The 23547-nt window shown below is 53.6% G+C and overlaps 1 protein-coding gene across 31 annotated transcripts in view; it reads right to left on the reverse strand.

Moving 5' to 3' along the window:
- Window positions 1–23547, reverse strand: part of NINL (ninein like) — a 132835-nt gene that overhangs the window by 25169 nt on the left and 84119 nt on the right. For 10 of the 31 annotated variants that reach the window (XR_007067446.1, XR_007067445.1, NM_001318226.2 and 7 more), the window contains 9 exons: window positions 22975–23145; window positions 20345–20481; window positions 18798–18938; window positions 13486–13660; window positions 12010–12120; window positions 11379–11459; window positions 4103–4235; window positions 2296–2402; window positions 1058–1341 (listed from right to left, as the gene is read on the reverse strand). Coding sequence is in view for 29 of the 31 variants with exons in the window: in NM_001318226.2 (NP_001305155.1) it covers window positions 1058–1341; window positions 2296–2402; window positions 4103–4235; window positions 11379–11459; window positions 12010–12120; window positions 13486–13660; window positions 18798–18938; window positions 20345–20481; window positions 22975–23145 (1340 nt within the window). In the remaining 2 variants the exon portion in view is untranslated. The other 21 variants (XM_011529188.1, XM_047440019.1, XM_011529189.2 and 18 more) reach the window with 12 other exon arrangements.

Here is a 23547-nt window from a genome sequence, read left to right on the forward strand (position 1 = left end):
CGCTCTTGGCTTTAAGGGGAAATAGCTGAAAGCCTGGGGAGGCACAGGATGGACAGACGACTTTTTTTTTTTTTTGAGACGAGTCTCACTTTTTTTTTTTTTTAGACGAGTCTCACTTTGTGGCTCAGGCTGGAGTGCAATGGCGAGATCTCGGCTCACTGCAACCTCCGCCTCCTGAATTCAAGTGATTCTCCTGCCTCAGCTTCCCGAGTAGCTGGGATTACAGGCGCCTGCTACCATGCTCAGCTAATTTTTTGTGTTTTTAGTAGAGACAGGGTTTCACCATGTTGGCCAGGCTGGTCTCGAACTCCTGAGCTCAAGTGATTTACCCGCCTTGGCCTCCCAAAGTGCTGATTACAGGTGTGAGCCACCGCATCCGGCCGGAAAGATGACTTTCTGTCAGGCTGGGGGTGGCCTGGCCAGTGTGGTGGGAGGGCCCGTCCTCTTCTAAGCCGGGGCCAATGCTCTCCACAGGACAGTGGGTGCCAGCTGAGCAGCAGCCTGTCTGCGATGACCAGGCACTTCCTCTCCTACCTCAGATGCCCCCAACAAGAACAGACGTGGTCACTTCACATGTACCTCACACCAGAACACATAAAACACCAGCACAGGCTTTCTGTAAGCCTTCTCTCTCGCTTGCACACTTGAGCCTTTTTGGGAACCTCACTAACCCCAGCTGGCCATCTTTCCCATTGTTCAGGGCTTCAGGCCTTTCTCCATCTCCCCACATGCTACCCTGCCTGGCCCTGGAGAAGCGGGTGTCTCTGAGCGATGGAGGCAATGTTGCTGCCGGGCACGGCTGAGGCAGAGGGTACAGAACACTGGGCTGTTTCTACACAGTGAACAGCTTCATGGCCCATGATCCAATGTATATTTTAAATTCAGAGCCAGAATCCTCATGCCAGGACCTGTTCTTTTGGCACTCACCCATCTGCCCAGAGGAAAACCACCCAGTCGGGAGGCACAGCAATTCTGAGTTGTTTCCTAAGTCTAATTTCAAATTTTGGTTCTTGGCAAGAAACCCCAGACTTGAAATCTCAAAAGAAGCTGGCTGGACCTGATCTGCTGCAGGTGGCTGTGATGCCGCAGGGCCAGGCCACACAGTGCCTGGGTGCAGCAGGGTGCCAGGCCCATCTGCTCAGGCTCGGGGCCGCGGGCTGTGTCCTGCAGCTGCTCCTGCAGGCCCCAGATGACCTCCTGAGACTTCTCGTGGAGCTCCTCCAGGTCGGCCTTCTGACCCTCCAGCACGCTGACCTCGCGCCTGCGAGCCTGCTCCATGTCCTTCCTCTCCTTCTCAAAGTTCCTTTTCAGTGCCGCAATTTCCCTTTCGTAGTAATTTACCTAAAACGAGAAACATGAGCCCCGTGGACCAGGAGACCCTAAGAATGATCTTGCTGCTGACGTAACACAGAAACACGAAGCTGCCTGGCACAACGTGCAAAGACCGGCATCCTGGCCTGCCGAGGTGCCAGGGTGTGCAGAAGGGGACAGTGACATGAATGTTGGTGGTGCTCCCCAGGGCCTAGTGAGGTGTGAGTCACCTATCCCCCCTGAGGCAGGGCGGCAGGCAAGACAGGCAGGAAGCTCGGGGCTCACTGGAGCATTTGGCCAAGCACTGCAAGGGACGCAGAGGGTGGAATCTTTACAGGACCTCGGGGTGGCTCTGAACAGCGTGGAGGCCCTCAGTGGAAGGAATACCATTCAACTATGGGTGGGCAGGGCTCGCCGGAGCTTCCAGTTAATCCTTCAGGGATCCCCAGGGCATGGCCACAGGCAGCTCCACCTAGCTGGTACCCTGACGGAGGAACTGGACACACAACAAGTCATGGACACTGTCCCTCAAAAGCCACCACAGTCTAGGAACAGAACAGGGCTAAGTTCATCCTGACAGTTTCATCCAGGGTGGCCCTGGCCTCAAAGCCACTGAGCTACCCAGGGGGCAAATGCCAGGTCGCTCAGGCTTGGAGCACAGCCAGTAACTGATTCCCACCCACAGACCAGCAAGGAGGGCTGGCCACGGCGCTGCGCTGCCTCAAGTATCCCCTTGTGACACTCCAGAGTATCACACCATTCCCTCCCCATCAGTCATCCTATGTCCTGTGTCCTTCCAAAGAGGGTTTGGGCAGCATGTCAGTTTTATTGCATTTCTCTACAAACTTTCCTCCCCAAAGGGGCTCACAATGAGACAAAGGATTCCAGGGCAGACGCATGTGGAAATGTCAGCGTGCCCAAGTAAAGCTGCCCAACACACAGCAGCTACTCCCCCAGGGCCCCACAGCCCCATAATCCCCTCACCTTGGTCTCCAGCTGGGTCCTGAGGTCTTGGTAATGCTCCTTTACCTGCTCCATCATCAGCTCCGTTTCTATACTCACTGGAGCAGAATTACCCAGGAATGAAATGCCTGCAAACAAGAGGCCACTTCCGTTTGTCACACTGAGGATGCCACGGGGGCCCCTTCCAAACCTTCCAATCTGATATTTTGGCATTGGCATCCATGAGGGGCAGGTGGTGCTGGCTGTGAGGATGACGCTGCGTCCTTAAAGTCAGCACTCGTCAGTACATAGCATTCCGTTATTTATCAGAACACTCAGAGATGAGACTAGGTGGCTCCCCACATGATTCACAGGAGCCCCTTTAGTCCCTAAAATATGCTGTGCTATGGTACATTTACTGCACCCTAAATCCTGTTCCCTGAAGATGCCAGGGTCACGGAGGAAATGGAAGGACATAATGGCCTGTGGCACAGCAGATGCCCGGTGGTGCAGAGCTTTAGATGATGTGCCGATGACCACAGCTGTGTGCACGGAGGTTATCTATCTATTTAGATAACCTTTCCTTGGTGGCCCTACATTATTATTTCATCACATAAACGATGCCAAGTTCTGAGAGGCAGTTCTGGCACACTAACCCCTGCTGGAATTAGCGCTCTGAGACTGACGGGCAGGGAGGTGTGACAGCCAGCGGCATCCAGGTGGGACGTCAATGGGGCTACGGACCCACAGGCACCACCCTGGGTGCAGGCAATCCTGGATATGTGCGTTTCTGGGATGGGTGGCCGGTGGGGTCTTGCACCTCCCTGCAGCTTCCTGAGAGTCTGCCAGCTGTTGGGGTGGCGCCTCAGGAGCCTGACTCCAATCCAGGAGCCAGCAGGGGAGGGGGTGCCTTAGGGGTCCCAGGAGGTCAGTCTCACATGCACAAAAGCCCCGACTAGGCTCCCCTATGAGGTTCCCATATTGGCCTATTTTTTTTTATTTCATTGAGTAAACAGTTTCAGGGCAACAGGAGAACTCTGAAGTTCTCCCGGGGTTACAGATGGCAGCAAAATCTTCTCTGAGGGGCTGAGGTTGCCATGACGGGGGAGCGAGGGGAGCAGGTGGGGCTGCTGGGTCCCCATGGGCCCCTGTCACAGCAGTGGACACGGAGCCATGTGCATTGTATGCTGCTATTGAGTGGGCAGAGGCCACCCCATCCTCCAAAGGGAGCACCACAGACCTCAAGGGCGGCTGCAGCACCTGGACCCCCATTCTCTCTGCAGAGGAGCCAGAGACACTTCGATGTGGGTTCCGGGGACCCTGGGTCCTTGGAGCTTGTCCTAATCCCATTGGCTGCGAGCACAGGGGCAGTTGGCCAGGTGGGGCCGCTCCCTTAGTGCTTGGTGCCTCCCTGCCTCAGTCAGACTTGGGGGGTGGTGCCAGCTACCACATCACCCAGAAGCAGCAAGGGTAAGCCCCGACAGCCTCTGTCTGAACAGGCCTGAGTACTGGGAGGCCCCAATGCATTCTCCGGGATTTAGCTCTTCTCAGTCTCAGCAAGTACCGTGTCACTGAAACAGCTCTGAGATGTGGGAACAGCCTGGGCCAGCCCTGGGGCTGCCCACCTTCAGCGTCCCTTCCTCCTCCCTCTGCAGGTGACCTTCCGTGTTGCAAGGTCACCCTGTGGCATCCCTGGATCCTCCTTGGAAAGTCCCTGCAGAGCAGACCACCTCCCTTCAGGTCACAGCAACATCATCATCTTCATCATCTCCACTCTCTTTTCCTGGCTCTGGGCCTTGTTGTCAACAGCAGGCCTTGGGTCAGCCCCCTCCCAGGGACGGGCTCCTACCTGCTGGGCCGAGTCCAGGGAGCTGCCGTCTGCGCCCATCCGGGCTCCATGAGGGGCTGTGCCGGTTCTTGGGCAGCCGCGCCCACAGGCCTTCCAGCTCAGCTTGCAGCTCATCGTTGCGGTCCTGCAGGTCCTGTGGGGACAGAGCCAGCCACCTCCTCTAGCAGCTGCAGCCATTCAGCCCAGCGAGCTGGCCGAGCTGGCCTCCAGGGGGGTCCCTTGCAGGTGAGGTGCACTGTGAGGTGAGGGCCTGTTGCTTCCCAGCTTCCAGCAGGAAACCATCTGGATTTTAAGTCGCTAACATCATGGTGAGATAAGCCAAAACAAAGGTCCTTTCTTGACTTTCTCACTTTTAAAAACTTTTATTTTTACTGTATTTTATTTATTTAGAGACAGAATCTTGCTCTCTTGCCCAGGCTGGAGTGCACTGGTGCAATCTCAGCTCACTTCAGCCTCCTTCTCCCAGGTTCAAGTGATTCTCCTGCCTCTGCCTCCCAAGTAGCTGGGATTACAGGTGTGCGCCACTACGCCTGGTTAATTAATTTATTTATTTTTCTATTTTTAGTAGAGATGGGGTTTCACCATGTTGGCCAGGCTGGTCTCGAACTCCTGGCCTCAAGTGATATACCCATCTCAGCCTCCCAAAGTGCTGGGGTTACAGGCGTGAGCCACCATGCCTGGCCCTTACATCACTTTCTATCACTGTTATATGGGAGGGGCTCAAAGAAAAAAGTGAGGCAGCTCCTGGGGAGAAATGTAGAAAATGCAGAGTATGGCCGGGCATGGTGGCTCACGCCTGTAATCCCAACATTCTGGGAGGCCCAGATGAGCAGATCACCTGAGGTCAGGAGTTTGAGACCAGCCTGGTCAACATGGTGAAACTCCATCTCTACTAAAAATACAAAAATTAGCCGGGCATGGTGGCATGCGCCTGTAATCTCAGCTACTTGGGAGGCTGAGGCAGGAGAGTCGCTTGAACCCAGGAGGCAGAGATTGCAGTGAGCCAAGATCATGCCATTCATTGCACTCCAGCCTGAGCAAAAAGAGCAAACTCCATCTCAAGAAAAAAATAAATAAAGAAAAGAGGCCAGGTGTGGTGGCTCATGCCTGTAATCCCAGCACTTTGGGAGGCTGAGGTGGGCAGATCACGAGGTCAAGAGATCGAGACCATCCTGGCCAACATGGCGAAACCCCGGTCTCTACTAAAAATACAAAAACTAGCCAGGCGTGGTGGTGGGCACCTGTAATCCCAGCTACTCAGGAGGCTGAGGCAGGAGAATCGCTTGAACCCAGGAGGCAGAGGTTGCAGTGAGCCGAGATTGTGCCACTCCACTCCAGCCTGGTGACAGAACAAGACTCTGTCTCAACAAAAAAAAAAAAAGAAAAGAAAAGAAAAGAAAATGCAGAATACTGTCACCACCAGAAACTACAGTCTTTGTTGGAACTGCAGTGGTGCTGCAATGTGCATGTCAGGCAGTGCCCTGGGTAAGGATAGGATTCCTTCCTCAGCGGCCACTGAATTTGCAAAGGGTTCTGCAGCTTTAACTACCAAAGAGGAAACCATTTGCTTCAGATCATATGCTGCAAAGCAGAGAACATGTCAGAAAGAAAGGATGATGTTGGTAAGGAGACACTGGAGCAGGTGGAGGCCGCGTGGGCGGCGGGAAGGCTAGGACACCATGGCAGGGTGGGTGGAAGCTTCAGGGGAGGCATCTGCATTTGTGGCCAGCTTAATTGTGCTCCCACTTTAATGAACTACGTCCTAACCAGTATGCTCAGTCACTTGCTCTTTAAAGGGACAGGAAGGGCAGAGTTTCTAGCCCACTTTCTTAGACACCTCCCAGGGTCCTGCAGACCTTCAGGAAGCAGACATAAACCAGGCTGTGCATGCTTCCCCATTCACACGTGGCTGGGGCCTCGGTCCCCAGCCCTGCAGCCTGAGTGGGACTTGTGACTGCTTCGACCTAGGAGACAGCAGAAGTGATGCCACGGGACTTCCAGGAACACGACATCCACCCACTTCTGCTGGGACATTTGCTCTGGGGCAGCTGCCGCCACCATGCTGTGATGAAGCCCAAAGTAGCCCTGCAGAGGCCACGTGGAGAGGCCCAGATGGAGAAGGGAGGCCCCAGCCCACACGGCACATCATGCAATATACCCAGGTAACAAACCTGCACAGGTACCCCCAAATCTAAAATAAAAGTTGAAAGAAAAAAAGTTTTTAAAAACACCAATATCCTTGTTACAAAATACAAAGAAACCCCAAAAGTGAGTTTGCAGAGATCAGGTGACATACAGTGGGGAGGGCTCAGGGTGATCCTTCTGGAATCTGGAGACCGACCAGAAAGATGCCCTCAGTCAAGACACAGCGACCCCTAGGAGCGAGCAGCATGCCAGGCACCCAGATCCTGTCTCTAAAACCATTCCCTCAGGAAAGGAACCAAGACTCCTTGGAGAAATGGCAGATTGTGGGCAGGTGCTGGGGCATCTCATTATGCCAGCAAGTGTGGAAACATTTGACAAAACAAGGCAGCAGCCAACACTGCGGGGCATGCCGCGGCACAGCAAGCAGCCGAGGACTCTCACTTGCCAAATCTTGCACAATTTGGGCACGAAAATAATTAAAAACCATAGGGAGGAAATGGGAATTCATGAGTCCATACCAGTGATTGGTACATGTATGGCTAGATCTGGACGGACAGGATTTCTCTAGCTTGAGTAGAATGCCAATGGCATGGACAGATGTGGAGGGGCTGCTAAGCAGGAAAATCATTTTGCAACCATCATAGTAAAGACTGAATCAGGCAAGAATCACCAGTGATGCTAAATCCAGGGAAGATTCTGATGAAGGCAGTATATTTGCATGGTCTTAAAGTGTCTTTCCACTGACTGTGTAATATTAATAGTTGCAGGGGAGAAAAAATGGTGATTACCGAGCAGAGAAACCAGGCGACACCTCGGTTGGGAGATCAGAAGCAACACCAGCGAGCGGGGCACAACATCACCCATGTGCTGTGCCAGCTGAGGATGCACAGCCTCAGTGCTGTGAACAGGAAACATCAGAAACACACAAAACGGGAACGTTGCTATGAAAAAGCGAGGAGGACAACATTCCTCAAAAATATCAATGTCATAAAGACAAAGAAAGGAAATGAGTCAGAATAAAGGATATTAAAGAAACAATCTGGCCCTGGGTAGATGCACTGAGGGAAGCAGAACTCGGCCAGCAGGTAACATGTTGCTTCGATGGCAGTTCATCAAGCATGCCTCAGTCATGAGAAAATATTCTCATTCAGTCAGGTGCTGGGAAACTTACTCTCCAGGAAATAAAAGCCCTCGCTTGTGGCTTTTACAAATTTCTGTGGTTTAAAGCCTGTATCAATTTGAAGCCTATCAAAGGCTTAATAAGCAATCTGCAAATCCTTGAACTCTGCATGATCACCTGCAGGAGCAGGAAGCTGCACAGCACTGCCAGCAGAACGGGAGGAAGTGTTTCTTAGGAAGTGCACACAAGCACTGGGCCGTGAAGGGTCAGGATGTGCATATATGACCCTCGGATGCTAAATCATGTTGTTTAGCATCTTTATGGGTACTTATACACCTTTTTCTTATTAGGTTATGTATTCATATTTGGAGAGAGTTTTTATATATTCTGGATCCAAGTCTTTTATCAGATAAATACATAATCACAAACATTTACTCCCATTTGTGTCTTTTGATCAGTGGGTCTTAATTTTTATTAAATCAAATGTTATTATTGTAAAAATCTATTATGAACTAGGCTTTAGAAGGTATAGTAAATAAAACTTGGATGTCATGAAGATCACAGAATTTTCTCCTTTTCTCAGTGGATTCTACAGTGTTCTGTCCAGGGCCAGGTGCTGCCTTCAGTTGTCCTGTTCCTTTAACATCCTTGACTCTGAAACATTCCCACAGTCTTTCTTTGTCTTTTATGACATTGATAATTTTGAAGAACACTGTTGTTCCTGCCCATTTTTCATAGAAATGGTCTCATGTTGTGGTTTGCTGATGTTTCCTTTGGATTGAGGCTGTGGTTCAGAAATAACAATGTCTACACGTTCACATCCACACCAACACAGCCAGTGAGCAGGTATGCTAAGGCAGAGGCAACAGGGTGAAATGTGAACAGTTGCATGTGGGTAAAGGGTACACAGACACGTGCTCTGTGCACTAGTTTTGTTTGTAACTATGAAAGTTTGAAATTGTTTTCATATAAAAAGTTTTTAAATATTCTAAATGTTAGCTTGAAACAGACAAAAAAATCCAAAAAAAGGAAAGGGGAAATATCTGAATAAATAGGTTAGCATTTAAATATAAAATATCTCTGCTGTTTCAAAAAATAAAATTGAAAGAACCCCAGATGAAAAGAATAGCATGTCTTTAAGTAACAGAATCATGTTAAAGAAAGAAGGGTTTTAAATTTGAAAAATCCAGGGCACTAAAGGAATCTATTAATGGAAGGTTATCTCTAGGTTCTGAGTCTGCTCCAGCAGCTACCAGAGGAGGAAGCCAGCAGCCCACATGCAGCTGCAGTCCTAGCAGCACACCATCTGGACCCCATCCGCATGGCAGGCCCCACCCACCCCACACACACCAGTCGAGGCAGAAGGAAGGCGACACCGCTCATCACACATAGGATTTCAAAAGGAGAATGAGACGTGCAGGGAACAACGGCAGGGTGCCCAGATGGAGGCAAACCACAGACAGGAAGGGGTAATCACAGCCACTGAGAACACAAGCTTGGGCTCACCTCGATCCTCTGGGGTTGCAAAGCAACGTGCGGCAGGGACAAAGTCAGGGTCACTTTACATGGGAGGGAAATCATTCAGAGTGAATCGAGAATAGACCCTTAAAATCGAACAACAATGCTTTATCTGGTTCTCTGGCTATAGGGCAGCCCATGAATTACCAGCTTAACAGACACATATTTTCCCTATAATACCTGCTCAAATTTCAAATCCTGTGAAATTACTTCACATCGATTGCTCACTTAACAATGACCATCACAGTATCCCCAGAAACAATCACAGATTTTCAGCACAGGGTGATGTGGCCTTAAGATTCACACACGGAAAGAATGAGCTGTAACTAAAACCAGTTGTGCTGTGGCATCACCACCCAAGGTAACTAAAGATTATCCACCGGGTAAAATTAAGTCAGTTTCAGATCATCACCCGTTCATATAGCTATAAACTATGGTTGCCCAACTTGAAAATTTTTATTAAAATTATTATTAAAGCTAACTTGCAGGAGAAATGAATGAGTGAACAGTAAGCAAGCTCTACTGATATCTTTAGGTTTTTTTCTCATTTTTGCTGGGTGGGGGGATTATACAGGGTCTTAAATGGCTGTTATTTGTGGATGCATATGACTTATCTGTTCACCTGGCAATGCTGCCTGGAAAGAATTCCATGCCTAAAATCATCCACTTCCATGTTATTTTCAAGCCTATACAGGGTTCTGTTAGAATAACAGTCATAACATGCCCAGCCGTTCCTGATGCTGACAGCTTGGCTGGGTTCAGTGTCTATTGTTACAACTTGTTTGGACCTAACCCTCTGTATGCCAGGATGTAAGAGGGGCAGGTGGGTCAAGGACTGGGGTTTTTGATGGTGAAAAAAATGTTTCTGTACAAGTTTTACATAAATTAACTTTTGGTAAATTAAAACCTAACCAGGAGCTGCCTATGAAAGAACCATGTGGTGAACGACCTTAGAGATAAAGTAACTTTTCTGTATTGTTAATAATCGACCCAACTCAACTCTAGTTTGTTTTCTTCTACACAGAATTTTCTTCCGCACAGAATTTCTTCTGCGGGCCAGAGCAGGGTGGGGTGAGACCATGGGGAGCTGGCTGGGCCAGCCATCAGCTCGTCTGCAAGGCGGCCTTCAAGGCACTGGAACCAGGCTTTCCTCACAGAACCACTCTTGCAGATCTAGAGAAACACCCGAGCTTTAAAACATTCCACGGTCTCTGCGTGCTCAGGTGAGCAGGGAGGGGAAGAAATGGAGGCTTTGCAATGCCCCAGAACCTGGCAGCTTGCATTTAAAATGTGCCAAGGAGGGTGGTGGTCCAACCGCAGGCTCTGAACCTGAACAATCAATCACTCTGTGTCATACAGCACCAGAAACACAGGCTGTGAGGGTGGGCATCCAGGCCTCCCAGCAGCCCACATGTGGCCCAGCGGGGCAGGTGAATGTGTGGCACGCCGAGGTGTGAAGTGACTTCCTTGCGCTCATTCTCTTTTTTTGGGGAGGGATGGAGTCTCGCTCTGTGGCCCAGGCTGGAGTACAGTGGTGCGATCTCGGCTCACTGCAACCTCCGCCGCTTGGGTTCAAGTGATTCTCCTGCCTCAGCTTCCTGAGTAGCTGGGACTACAGGCGTGCAGCACCACACCCAGCTGATTTTTGTATTTTTAGTAGAGATGGGGTTTCACCATCTTGGCCAGGCTGGTCTTGAACTCCTGACCGCATGATCCACCCGCCTCGGCCTCCCAAAGTGCTGGGATTACAGGTGTGAGCCACCGCACCCGGCCTCCTTCACTCATTCTCTTTCGGGGCACGTGGCAGTTCCAGATGCTCTGTGTCATGTGATATCATGATGGACTGACGCAGCAGCAGGTTTGAGCATCCCGTCCTCTGTTTGGCCAGCCAGTGAGGAGGCTGGCGAGAATGCAACACCACGGCACATTCCTGGCTAGTTTTTATTTCTTTTGGAAAACAGCTATGTTCCCCAAAATAGGCTATTTATGTTAACCTGTTATTACATTATTATTCTTAAATAAATTAATAAATTTAAAAAATTTCCACTTTAATTTTTACCATGGTAAATATTAAATTTAATCCATATAACCTACATCAACAAAAGCTCTTTGGGGTCCTTGAGAACATTAAGCGTGTACGGGGGTCCTCCTGGGTTTAAGTTTCATTCACTGCGTCCACTGCGCCCTGCACTCCTATGTCTCCAACTGACAGACGGACACGCATGGCAGGTTTGGCCCAGGAAAGCTAAACATGAACAACAGAAGACAACAATGCCCTGCATGGTCCCTGGACACACAGAGGCGGCCTTCAGGATAGGTGGCAACGAGAGCCAGGGAACCCTAAGTCTAGGAGTGTGGCAAGGCCATGGTCAAGCATGGCCGCAAGCAGAGGCTCTCCCTGGAGCAGACACTCCTGCGTTACTGTGGACCACCTGCGTGTGGAGACCCAGAGCCTGGACATGAGACTAAAAGGCAGACAGAGCAGGCACGTACCCGGCACTTGAGCTCGTATTCCTTCAGGACTGCTGCGAACCGCTCCTCCTGGGCCAGGAGCTCTGCACTCTGTGGCTCCAGCTGAAAGGCAGACACAAAGGAAGTCACGGGTGGGCCTCGGGCCAGAGGGGGACCTGCTTCTCCAGCCCCTGGGCTCCAAGAACCTGCCCAGCTTCTGCCAACACCAGGCGCTGCATCTCCAGGTATAGCCGCCATCCCCCCTCCTTCTCCTTACTCCCCCGTCTAGAAGGTCACAAGACAGAAGGATTTTCCAGACTTAGATCTAAGGTGGCCACACTCATCCCTGGAGCCCAGACCCTGACCCTGGGCAGCCCCTCTCCCCATCCTCCTCCCTAGGTGACACCCAGGGAAGGCCCTGCCCTCCCTCCACGCCCCCCACCACTGAGGGCTGTCACTAGTGAGCAGTTGTGCTGTGTGGGCAGACGGCCCCCCACATTGTCATGCAGAGGAAGCAGAGGGAAGGCCTCATGCTGACTTTCTCTTCATTCTAAATTTTAGGAGAATACCGCATTCTGTGACCTGCCGCATCTCTCCCTGGCCACCCCCGCCACCCCCACTCTGCCCAGCAGGCCCTCCCCTCTGGAGGCAGACTGTCAGCAAAGGGACTCGCCTTGTCCTTCAGCACAAACTCCAGGTCCTTCTGCAGCTTCAGGGCCAGCCTCTCCGAATCCGAAAGCTTTTCCACCACTTCCACAATCTCCTTCTGTAGGCGACTGTTTTCCTAGGAGACACAGGCCAGTGGCTCATCAGGCTCCTGCAGGACGGAGGGGATGTGTGCAGGATGGAGGTGAGAGGCTTGCTTCTCATAGGACTGGGCATCAGGAAAGAACCCCCACCCACCGCAGGCGAGGCACCTGGTGCTGTGCAGGCGGCTGTGCCGGGGATGTCCCCCACCCTCCCAGGACAGACGCCAGAGCCCACCCAGACTGTGGCTACCCCATCGTCTTCACTTCTCTTGTCCCCTCCCTTACCCTGTGCTCAGAAAGGCCATGAGTCATACGAGAAAGGGTGGAGAGCCGGGCACGGTGGCTCACGCCTGTAATCCCAGCACTTTGGGAGGCCGAGGCGGGCGGATCACAAGGTCAGGAGATCAAGACCATCCTGGCTAACATGGTGAAACCCCATCTCTACTAAAAATACAAAAAATTAGCCAGGCGTGGTGGCGGGAGCCTGTAGTTCCAGCTACTCAGGAGGCTGAGGCAGGAGAATGGTGGGAACCTGGGAGGCGGGGCTTGCAGTGAGTGGAGATCATGCCACTGCACTCTAGCCTGGGCGACAGAGCGAGACTCCATCTCAAGGAAAAAAAAAAAAAAAAAAAGAAAGGGTGGGGAATACAAAAGCATTGCAAAAGTATTATAGAAAAGGCATCCTTCCAGAGCCATTCCTGAACCAGGGATCAGATATCGTACCAGGACAGCTCAGACAGCCATTGCCAGGGGAGGAGGCAGCATCTGTAGACGGTGGGGGACTGCAGTGAGAAGGGTGGAGAGCAAGGCTGTTGGGGGGCTCAGGCTGCCCAGCCTCTCCTCCCGGGAGGTGGGGCAGGTGTGGGGAGTTAGGAGAGGAGGACACAGGCAGGAGCAGAGCAGGGACCAGCACAGCAAGGGCCAGCACCTCTGTCCCGCTGCGATGCCTCACTGGAGTCAGTATCAGGGGACAGTTGTGAGACACTCACCAAAGCCCATCAAACCCCATCAGCTCCAGGCCACAAAGCCAGCCTCGGGCAGGCTGGGCTTTAGGTTCTGGTCTCTTTGCTGCCCCCATGGGTGTTCCTGGTTTCTGGGGTTGAAGCAGTGCTGGCTGCGGGTGCTGGCCCTCCCTGACCTCAGGTCCACCTGGCCCAGAGCAGAAAGTGGGAGTGGTGGGGAAGGAGGGGCAATGTCCTGCTGGCAAGCCAGGACCCCTTCTGCTCTGCAGCAAGTGGGACACCTCCTCACTGCAGCAGGTGCTCCCTCGGGCCCTGCCCTGAAACATAAGCTTGAGGGCACTGGCAGGTGTGGATCTGGATCCTCAACCAGGATGACGTGGGTGTGGGGAATGCTCAGGCACCCCCCCAGCTTCCTGGATGCCCTGGGGATGCCCCTACCTTCAGGGCCAGGGTCAGCTTCTCGCGGAGGCCAGCCTCCTCAGCCTGCAGGCGCCCCACGTCCCACTCCAGCGCGGCCCTCTGCCTGTGGGCCTGCTCCCAGAACAGCTCTCGCTCCGCCTCCACCTCAGACCGCAGGAGGCTCAGCCTTTCCCGGTACCCCTGCTCCAGATGCCTGTAACATGTCACACATCACACGTCAGACATGTCATGTCAGGGCTGCCCAGGCCCACGCCACCCCCTTCCTAGCCTCCTCCCTCTTAGAAACGCCCCTGTCCTCAGCACGTGCAGGGCCGCCCTGCCTTGGCTGAGCTGCCCATGCTGGGAGGCAAATCTGAGGGTGGGTGCTCCTCCCTCACAGGCTGCTGGAGGTGACCCCAGACAAGGGGATCTGGTGGGTCACATGGCAAATGCCACCAGCTGCCCCCTCACAGCGAGGAGCACAGCTCCCTGGGGTGAGTCCCAAGGTGGCCCCTCCACCCGGTGTGCATGGCAGGTAACAGCCCTTTGATAAAGACTTTCGATACCAAATGCACATGAAAATCACCTCCCTCCCAAGGAGGGAGGCAGCATGAAACCCATGGACAGTGAATTCCCAAAGCAATCTGAGGAAGAGGTGGGGGATATTTTTTTCTCAGCTGCTACATTCATCTTTTACAATAACTGTTTCCATTAGCAGGAAAAACAGTGTTCAACGCTCAGTCTCATCTCTTTCTGAAACAGCAGCTTCACTGGAATTCTCAAACCACGTCTACCCAGACTGAAGACCAGCGAGGCTCCTACTTCTGCAGAAGCCTGGTGACGCCCATAACCAAGTCCGAGACACCTAAGCCCCAGAGCCCGGGCTTTTAATCTTGGCTTAGAACTTTAAAGAAACAACACTCAAAAGGGAAGAGTATGAAGGAAGTACAATAATCTGACTAATTTAATACTCCATAAATCTTTTGGGGTAGTGTTAAAGCTACATATTTCCTATCAGCCTACTCTTTAAAAACTTTTGAAATATACAAAAATAGGGAAATGGTTAAATAAATTATGGCAGATCCACACAAAGACCCAGGTGAGATGCTCTGTGGCCATCAGAAAAGCATATGCAACATGGTGTCATTTTTTTTTTTGGAGACAGAGTCTTGCTCTGTCGCCCAGGCTGGAGTGCAGTGGCGGGATCTCAGCTCACTGCAAACTCTGCCTCCCAGGTTCACACCATTCTCCTGCCTCAGCCTCCCGAGTAGCTGGGACTACAGGCACCCACCACCATGCCCGGCTAATTTTTTGTATTTTTTAGTAGAGACGGGGTTTCACCATGTTAGCCAGGATGGTCTCAATCTCCTGACCTCGTGATCTGCCTCCCAAAGTGCTGGGATTACAGGTGTGAGCCACCACACCCGGCCACAACATGGTATCATTTTTTTAAGAATTATGTGCATAGAAAAAAAAGGTGAAAGATATATAGGCAATGTAAAGAGTGATACCCCCGGGAAAGTGAGATTTCTGGTTTTATTTTTCCTTTAATTGTACTTTCTAAAATGTGTGCAATAAACATGTATCACTCATTACATTTATAATAAGGAAAACCTAATGCAATAATAAAAGCTACTTACAGAAACCTACTCATAACTCCCATTGCTCATGGGACAAAACCCAAGCTCTCAGGGCCACGTGGGTTCTGAGGCTGCAGCTTAGCACCTCGAATGCATCCCTCCACCAGGTTCCAGGACAGAGTGTTTCCAATCCTCTAACCCTGGGAAAGACAATTCACACAAGTCTTTCCAAATGGCTGGGAGAGAATCAAGGTATACACGTGTGGACAGAAGCAAATCAGTTCTCAGTTACTCAAACTGAGTATGAGTCAACTTACTTCCAGCTTTGAACACAAGTGTCTCACAAGGAGCACTCTTGTCTAGGGGCCCTGCTAACCCCAAGGCTGGGATGAGGCTGTGCTCGGGAGAACGAAGTCGCTGGAGGTCAGAACCCAGCCCCTCAGGTCCTGAGAGGCAGCACCAAGATCCCTGTGGCACCAACAGGGATAGGTGGATCCCGATACTCAGGATGAAAGTGAGAGGTGGACGAACCGAGCTTACAACAGAGCCGTCAGGAGAAAGGAGGGGGCGTCCAGGGAGAGGAAATGAGTTCCTGGAGCTCCCCGTGGGTCTCCCTGACATACTTTCAGCTCCTAAATGTTAGCAATTGTCTCCTCTGGAGATCCAAGCTGGCCTCATGTGCGCTCCGGAAGGCAGGGAGCTATGAGAACGTCTTAAGCAACAAAGTCAAGGTCACCTCCCCCAGGGGCCGGGGGGCATCTTTTGGTCCCTCCTCTAGGAATTCCCCAGCCAGGTGGGAATGATAACGCTACAAGGCTGGCCCAGAATAGTTCAGCTGACGGAGACCACAGAGACCCTCCCTGCCCACAGGAGCAGGGATACCGCTTCCTAACAAAATGCCTTCCAGGCTCAGGGCAGGGAACTCGGGCCTTGAGGCCTGGCCCAGCACCTCCATGTGGAGGGCAAGGGCCCCAGCCACTGCCTGCACCTGTCCCTGTACCTGGCTTTTCGCCTCACCAGACACCTCCTCATGTTTGGTTAAAGGAGACTTGACTTTTAGCTTCCCTGAAAATGACCACAGTCCCACAGGGGCTTCCCACCACCACCACAGCCACAGGAGCCAGTGGCACCAAGAACGTACACTCCAGGGGGCCCACAGGCCGCACAGGCCCCATGCATGTACACAGCACCCCCCACTGCACCCCATGGGTCCCATGCACACAGTACCCCCACTACACCCCACAGGCCCCACACACACTCACAGCACCCACATAGCACCACACAGGCCCCACGCACACTCAGCAACCCCACTCAGCACCCCCAATGCACCCCACAGGCCCCATACATGCACACAGCACTTTCCACTGCACCCCTCTAGTCCCGGAACACTCACAGCACCCCCACTGCACCCTACAGGCCCCAAGCATGCTCAAAGCACTGACATGGCACCACATGAGTCCCACATACACTCACAGCACCCACATGGCACCCCATGGGCCCCATGTACACGTACTGCACCACCGCTGTACCCCACATACCTGAGGTCCCATGAACGCTCACAGCACCCTCATTGCATCCCACATGCCCTTGCACTCCACAGGCCCCATGCACTCACACTAACTCCCCACACCATGTAGAGGCACATGTAGATCTGGACCTGCTGTGTACAGCCGTCCCCAGCCAGCCCTGGAAGGAAAGGGCACTTGGGAGGTGCAGGCGAACAGAGGCGGGGTGAGGCCCCGCCCTGTCCCAGCCACCCCCTATGGACTGAACCATGTGGAGGTGGCGGCTGCAGGAGGTGCAGCGGGGACCCCCTTCTGCCCAGCACAGATCCGTGGAAACCCTGAGGACATGGGTTATGGAGATGGGGGGCGCCCACTGGCCTTAGAGCTGGCCCCGGACTGTGCCTGGCTCTGGAAGGCCTGAAGGAGAGTGGCTGGGCTCTGCCCTCATGCTTCTCCCACCTGAGGCTCTTGCTCCCCAGAAAGCTGACCAGTGGCCTTCGGCTGACCCAGAAACAGTGTAAGGCCAGGAGAAGGGAGACCTGGGTGTCAGCTTCACACACGCACGCTCACTGCTGCGGGACTGGGCCAGTTACTGAGCTGCTCCAGGACTCAGTTTGTTTGGCTGAACAATGGGGATAAATGGCCTATTTGGTCCCAGTGGCTGTTACGTGAGGCGACCCCTGGTGCACACAGGAGACACACCACAGCTGTCTTCACCAACCAAACTCACTTCTCCAGAGGCCACGGACCCATCAGTAGCCCCTCAACCCCTGGAGCCCCAGGTTCACGACAAAGATGCTCAGGGCTTCTTTGGTAAAGGAGCAGCAGCTTCAGGCTTCAGCCCGCAGTGCAGCTGGCACAATTCCAACATGCGATGTGGCCAGCAGCCAGGCTCCCATCTGCAGGCTCACCCTGGGGACTCCGCAGCACCCCAAGCAAACCGCCCGCATCCCTGGAGGGTGCCACACCACGTGGCTCCATCGCGCATAGCTCTTCTTTGCTAGCCACGCTCAGCTGAGCCACCACCACCAGGACCATGGCAGCGAGTGCTGTGTCTGTGTTGTGCAATGCAGAGGGTGGGCCGACCTGCAGACCAAGAACCCAAGGGCGTGGGGACAACAGGGCCAGGACTGCAGCCTCGGGCAGACCTCCCGAGCCAGCAGAGGACCCACTGACAAGGGAGAATGGCAGGGAGGCCAGCCATGTCTTGCTGCCCCTGCCCAAGAGCTGTGACTCAGAGCCAGGAAAGCCTGTCCTGAGCTACCCCGGAGGACCCTCCAGGCATGCGCAAACTTCAGGTGAAAAACAGCAGCTCAGCCCAGGCAGACATGTGCCCCACCAATGACGTAGAGAAGCCCCTCTCCCTGCCTGAGCCTGGGACACCCTCTTGGGCGGAATTTCCTCAGATGTTCTGTTTGTGAACCAGTGCGGTGGTTGTATCCTTAAACAAAACAAATCGGAAATCTAAGGCCAGGCGTGGTGGCTCACACCTGTATTCCCAGCACTTTGGGAGGCTGATGGGGGTGGATTACTTGAAGTCAGGAGTTGGTCATCCTGGCCAAAATGGTGACACCCCATCTCTACTAAAAATACAAAAATTAGCTGGGTGTGGTGGCAGGCGCCTGTTTAATCCCTGCTACTTGGGAGGCTGATGCAGGAGAATTGCTTGAACCTGGGAGGCGGAGGTTGCAGTGAGCCAAGATGGCACCACTGCACTCCAGCCTGGGATACAGAGGGAGACTCCATCTCAAAAACAAAAACAAAAATAAAAACAAATCAGAAATCCTTTTCTCTGGTCTATCCAGCCACTGTTCCACACAACTGTCCCCGCATCGGGGTCACTACAGCTGTGATACCTGGAGTTGGGTTCCTTCTCTGGGCTCCTTCTACCTGCTGGGCCAAAAGGAAACCATTGCCAGTCCTTGCAACATAGCCACCTGCCTCTTGCATCACAGGCACGCAGCTAGGGGCCGAAAGGCTTGGCTTATGTGAGAAGAGCCCAGCAAAGCGAGGGCAGGAGGCAGGACCTCCTCGGCCCATGGGGACGTAGCCAGGGCCAGGCACTGCACCAACCCCAGGAAGAGCAGGGCTCTGCTGCTTTCTCAAGGCTGTGCCCCCTGGATTCCCCCTGACTCAGGTGAAATAGGGGGGTCTCCACTGAGCCACACCCGCAGCTCTGGCCCCTGGCAGCCCTGTGTCCACTACCTGCCCTCAAAGGGGCTGGGGAGGCCCAGGTAAGAATCCACCACCTGGGCCCAGAACCCACTTGATTTTCTTCTCCGTGAGCTGCTCCAGGGTGGAGTGGCAGTCGTCCATCTCTTTCACAAACTCCAGGTTCCTCTTCTCGGCCCTCTCCAGGTCCTGCCTTGCCTTGTCACGCTCCCTTGCCAGCTGCTCCACCTGCCCTCTGCCACAGGAAGGAGACAGGGTCAGATGGGACCCCACTGCTGGCCTGACCCGCCATGCCAGGTGGCTCTGGGCCCCATATCTGCATCAATGATAGAAACTAGCACACCAACTATACAGCGGGCACTGCTCCACCAGCCTGCTCCTAAGGCAGTTTCTACAACTGCTATGCTCATTTTATAGATGTGTACACTGAGAGAGAGGGGCCACGTGACTTGGCAAGGAAAGTTTCTAGGTGGTTTCTAACCCAGGAAGACTGAGCCTGGAGTCCCACAGCATGCCATATCACTTATGCAGCCCCAGGGCATGTGGGAGTTGGTTTGTGAGCCCTCTCATCGGCAGCTGGGCGTGGATCGCAAGTACCTAATTCAGTAACGGGCATGTGGCGGGGAGGATGGCCACCTGTTAGCCCTGCATGGGCATCCCAGCACGCTAGTGAGCACACAGTGAGTCACCAGAGCACAACGCAGTGGTTGTATGTGGTCTCAGCTCTGCCTGGCCACCCTGACCCAGCTGAGGCACTGTGTAAATCATTGGTGGCACCTGCTATTCCAGTGACTGTTTCCCCACGAAAGGAGCTTTTCTCCCTCCCTGTCCCAAGGCCAGGGGAGGGACCTGGGCAAGCCTTTCTCCAGTTCTATCTGCAGAGCTGCCTGAGGCCAGAGGCGGCTCCGCTGTCTGCACCTGGACAGATGCAGTCTTTAGGATTGAGATTGTGGTTTCTGCCAATCTTTTCTGCAGCTTCAGAACATTGACAAAAACACCACGACAATCTTTTTGCAAATCTGCTTAGCAGACGGATGGCCTGAATGGTCAGCCAAACCAAACAGACACAATTAAAAGGGAATGGGTTCTCAGCCCAACGTCACGGGGCATTTTGTGACCACGTTTGAAAAGCGCCTTTCCTTCCTCCTGCTGACAGCCCAGCCTGGGAGCCCCCTGGCGCGAGAGGCAGCGGCAGGACCCCACCTGGCGCTGGCAAGCGCCTGCACCAGCATGAGGGGGGACCTCATGTCTGTCCCTTCGAAACCTCAATGAAAAGGGCTCAGTGGGGGCCCCCAACATACAGATCCCAAGCACCTCAACAAGTGGGAGGAAAGCCAGCGAGCCTTAAATTGTGTAGACTCAGACGGCACAGGTCCTCAGGCCCCACCCAGCCCAGAAACACGGATGAGCGGCTGCCATTCACCTGTCCATGCTCCGTGGCTAGATTCTGCTCCTGTCCCTCTGCGAGCGCCGGCTTGAGGGGCCAGAGAGCACGGGACAGACAGTGTGCAGAGCCCTGCCCCAGGACTGGCCATGTGGGGTGGATAAGAGCTGACTGGTGTCCTTTGTGTCCCAGACCCCCCTCCAGGCCCACCTGGCCAGCCACACTGCCACGTTCCCCAGTCCCCTGTGGCCTCTTACTGCTGGTAGCTCAGCTCCTGGTGGTAGCAGGCCAGGGCTGCCTGCTGGACGGCACTGTCCACTGTCATGAGCTCGTTGTCAAGGGCCCAGGTCAGCTCCAGAAGGTTCACCTTCTCGTCCACGCTGAAGTCCAGGCTCTGGAAGCAGCAAGCCTGGTAAGCAGGAGAGGCTGAGGGACTTCCCCAAGCAGACACCTCTTTGCTCCCTCCCTGATCCAGGGCCTAGCCCAGCATGGCTGTCCCAGGCAGCACCTGCCCCTCCTGTCTGCCAAGGTCTCTGCGTCTTGAGGGGTGCTCCTCCTCCATCCCACGCAACTCTGGTGGGCTGTCAATGGCCTGGTCCTCCTGCCTCTGCCTCAGGGGTGCGTAGGCCCAGGCTAGACAGAACCCCTCTTCCTGGACAAAGTGTCAGACACAGGCAGGGGCAAGTCCCCTGCAGGCCCTTCATGGGGACTGCTGTGGAGGCCAGGGCACAAGGCCCTTTTCCCTCTGAAATAATCTATTTTAAGGATGTGAGCCTTGGGATTCCCTGCGATGAGGCCTGACCTGCAGCTCATGCCACCAAGAAGAGCGTGGAGAGATGGAGGGGGTCCCCACAGCAGCCCTCAGGCTTAAAGCCAAAAAGCTTTCCAGAGCGGGGTGTTCCTCCCCACAGAAATGTGAAGAATACACTAATAAACTTCAAAGCACAGAACAGCCGGCATTTTACTGAAACAACAAAAAATAGAGTCACACACACCCTAAGACCCTCAGCTCAAGGGAGCGGCAGCTAACGTTCTGTCGTGTTTGCTTTTTCCGCCTTGGGTATTCCTGGCTCTGCTTTCCACTTGTGGCTACAAACGCCCTGCTCAGGCCGGCGGCAGGCACCATGGCAGGGCGGCTGAAGCAGGTGCCAGGACGTGCCTGGCCCAGAGTCTCCTGTGAAGTAGGGGCTGACTTTCCACACTGCCCACTTCCCAGCAGCTCCTGAGGAGCAATGGCATCTTGGGAGAGGCTGGGGAGCCGCCTGGAAAGCTGTCCCTACACAAGCACACGCTCCCCACCACGTCACTGGATGGCGTAGAGGGACAGAACCGCCACAGCAGCCTGAGGTCAGAAATGCTGACTGAGTTGCAAGGCAGAATTTGGCAATAATCTATCATGAAGCGAGGGAGAAGCCACCCAGGGCGTCTTTGCAGAGCAGCACCAGCAGCTCTAGCGCAAATGGGAAAGAGAATAAGTTCTGAAAGGGCAGAGGCAACATGCACTCATCAGAGCCAGCGCACAGCAGCAGCCAGGGCACCCCCAGGGCTGTGGAGTCAGGTGTCGGGCATCTTGGAACCGAGAGACTTGTGCTCTCTGCCCTTCCTGCAAGCGATTTTTGGTGATCCTGCCTCCGCCTCTGGCTCTCAGGACAATTGTGAGGCCAGCTGTCCAGGTCTGGCTTTGCCATCTTGGGGGACTCGGTAACAGATGAGGTTGCGCCAATGAGGGTCTTGGTCTGTGGAGTAGGGTGGACTGTTTCAAGGGCTGTCTGGGCTCCTTCCTGTATTGTCTATCTGTGCCAACAGGACATTTTCTGAGGGAATATGACAGAGCCTCCAAGAGTTACAGGGTGCAACTTCAGGAGTCCAGCCTCAGAGAAATGCTGGCACAGCAGCAAGAGGACATCGTTGCATTATAAATGCCCAGATTTATCATAGGAAAAGCGAAGGGTCGCACAAATTAGCAAGACAAACAGTATGACACCAATTTCGCAAAAAAAAAAAAAAAAAAAAAAAAAATTTAGCCAGAATGTATATATACATCTCTCATGTGCCAGGGAAAAGCTCTGCAGTACACCCACTACACCAACAGCTGTCGCCCCCTCCAGGGAATAGGGAGAGGGGGGCAGGTAGGCTTTCTTTCTTATTTAATAGGTTTTTGTTCAGTTGAGTTCACTGCACCTCGTGAGGCTGTCTTCCATCATCCATGCTGGGCCCCTGCACACCTCTGCCCCTGCACAGTTGTTGCCAAATTGTGCCCAGGGCAGAGCTCCTTCCAAATCTCCAGGGCTGGCCTGCATCCCTCTGGGAAGCCTGAGCCTGTAAGGAGCTGTGTCCCATGCAAGGACCACATCTTCCCTCCCAGGCAGCCCCAGCAGAACACGGAGGGAAGGGTGCACCTCCTGACACCTGGCCCATGGTGGGAAGGGCCTGGGGTAAGTGGGCGCCATGGGGGAGAACAGCTCAACCAGCCAGGCAGGGGCTCCAGGAGAGTCCGGGCTCACTCTGAGATCATCAGTAACTGCTGTAACAGTGGTGCCCAACAGAAATCGTCATCATCACAACAGGCAATTTCTTTCCATTCATCTAACCTCCTTGGCCCAACATTCAGGGGAAATGTCTAAGCCACTAAAGGCTACCTTCAAATGGACTTTTTCACACTAACTTTGTGTTTTATTTCTTATCTTTTTAAATTATAATGTCCTATATTTTAGTAACAAAAATTAAAAGAGATAGGTTTCTACCTGGACTTCCTTGCATGGCATTCTCTGCACAGAGCACACACCCCTGCTGGGTCCCCTGGCTTGGGACGCTCCATCCATCCTCCTCTGCAGCAGACGGGCCCCCCAGGTCCCCTGTCCAGCTTAGGCATCACCCAGTTCCAAACCTGCAAGATCTCCCTGCCATTCTGAATCCCCTCCTGGGTCCACATGGCCAGGACCTGATCAGGAAAAGCGAAGCCAGAACCATCGTCAATGCTGGAGAAGAGGCGCAGGCTGGAGCACAGGGACACGAGGGATGAGGTTGTGGTGGTGTGGCAGCCGCTCTCCTCTGGGACCTGCATGTCAGGAAGACTTCCATAGCGCCCAGCGTCCAAAGCCTCACGCCTGTGTGCTGCTGATGTGCTCTCCACCCTCCCCAGCCTGTGCTCAGAGGGCCTCACAGGAACAGCTCATGAGACCATCCTCAGCTCTCAGAGGGGTCAGAGGTGCAGCCCCATCACATGACCTCTCCAAGGTCACATGGCTGTGCAGGTAAGAAAGTCGGGACATGCAACCAAGGCCCCCAACACCCAGGACTCTGAGGCCTTGCACCCACGTGGCCCAACCGGCCAGCCCCAGTCAGCACACTCATCACTTGGAGAGGGACGACAAAGGAGTTTTAACGTTCCACCCTTGAATTCACAAAGGCGGGAGCCTGGCCTCGCAGAGGCAGGGGCCCATAGAGTCCATGCCAGCAC

Source organism: Homo sapiens, chromosome 20 (assembly GCF_000001405.40).
Source record: "Homo sapiens chromosome 20, GRCh38.p14 Primary Assembly".
NCBI lineage: Eukaryota > Metazoa > Chordata > Mammalia > Primates > Hominidae > Homo > Homo sapiens.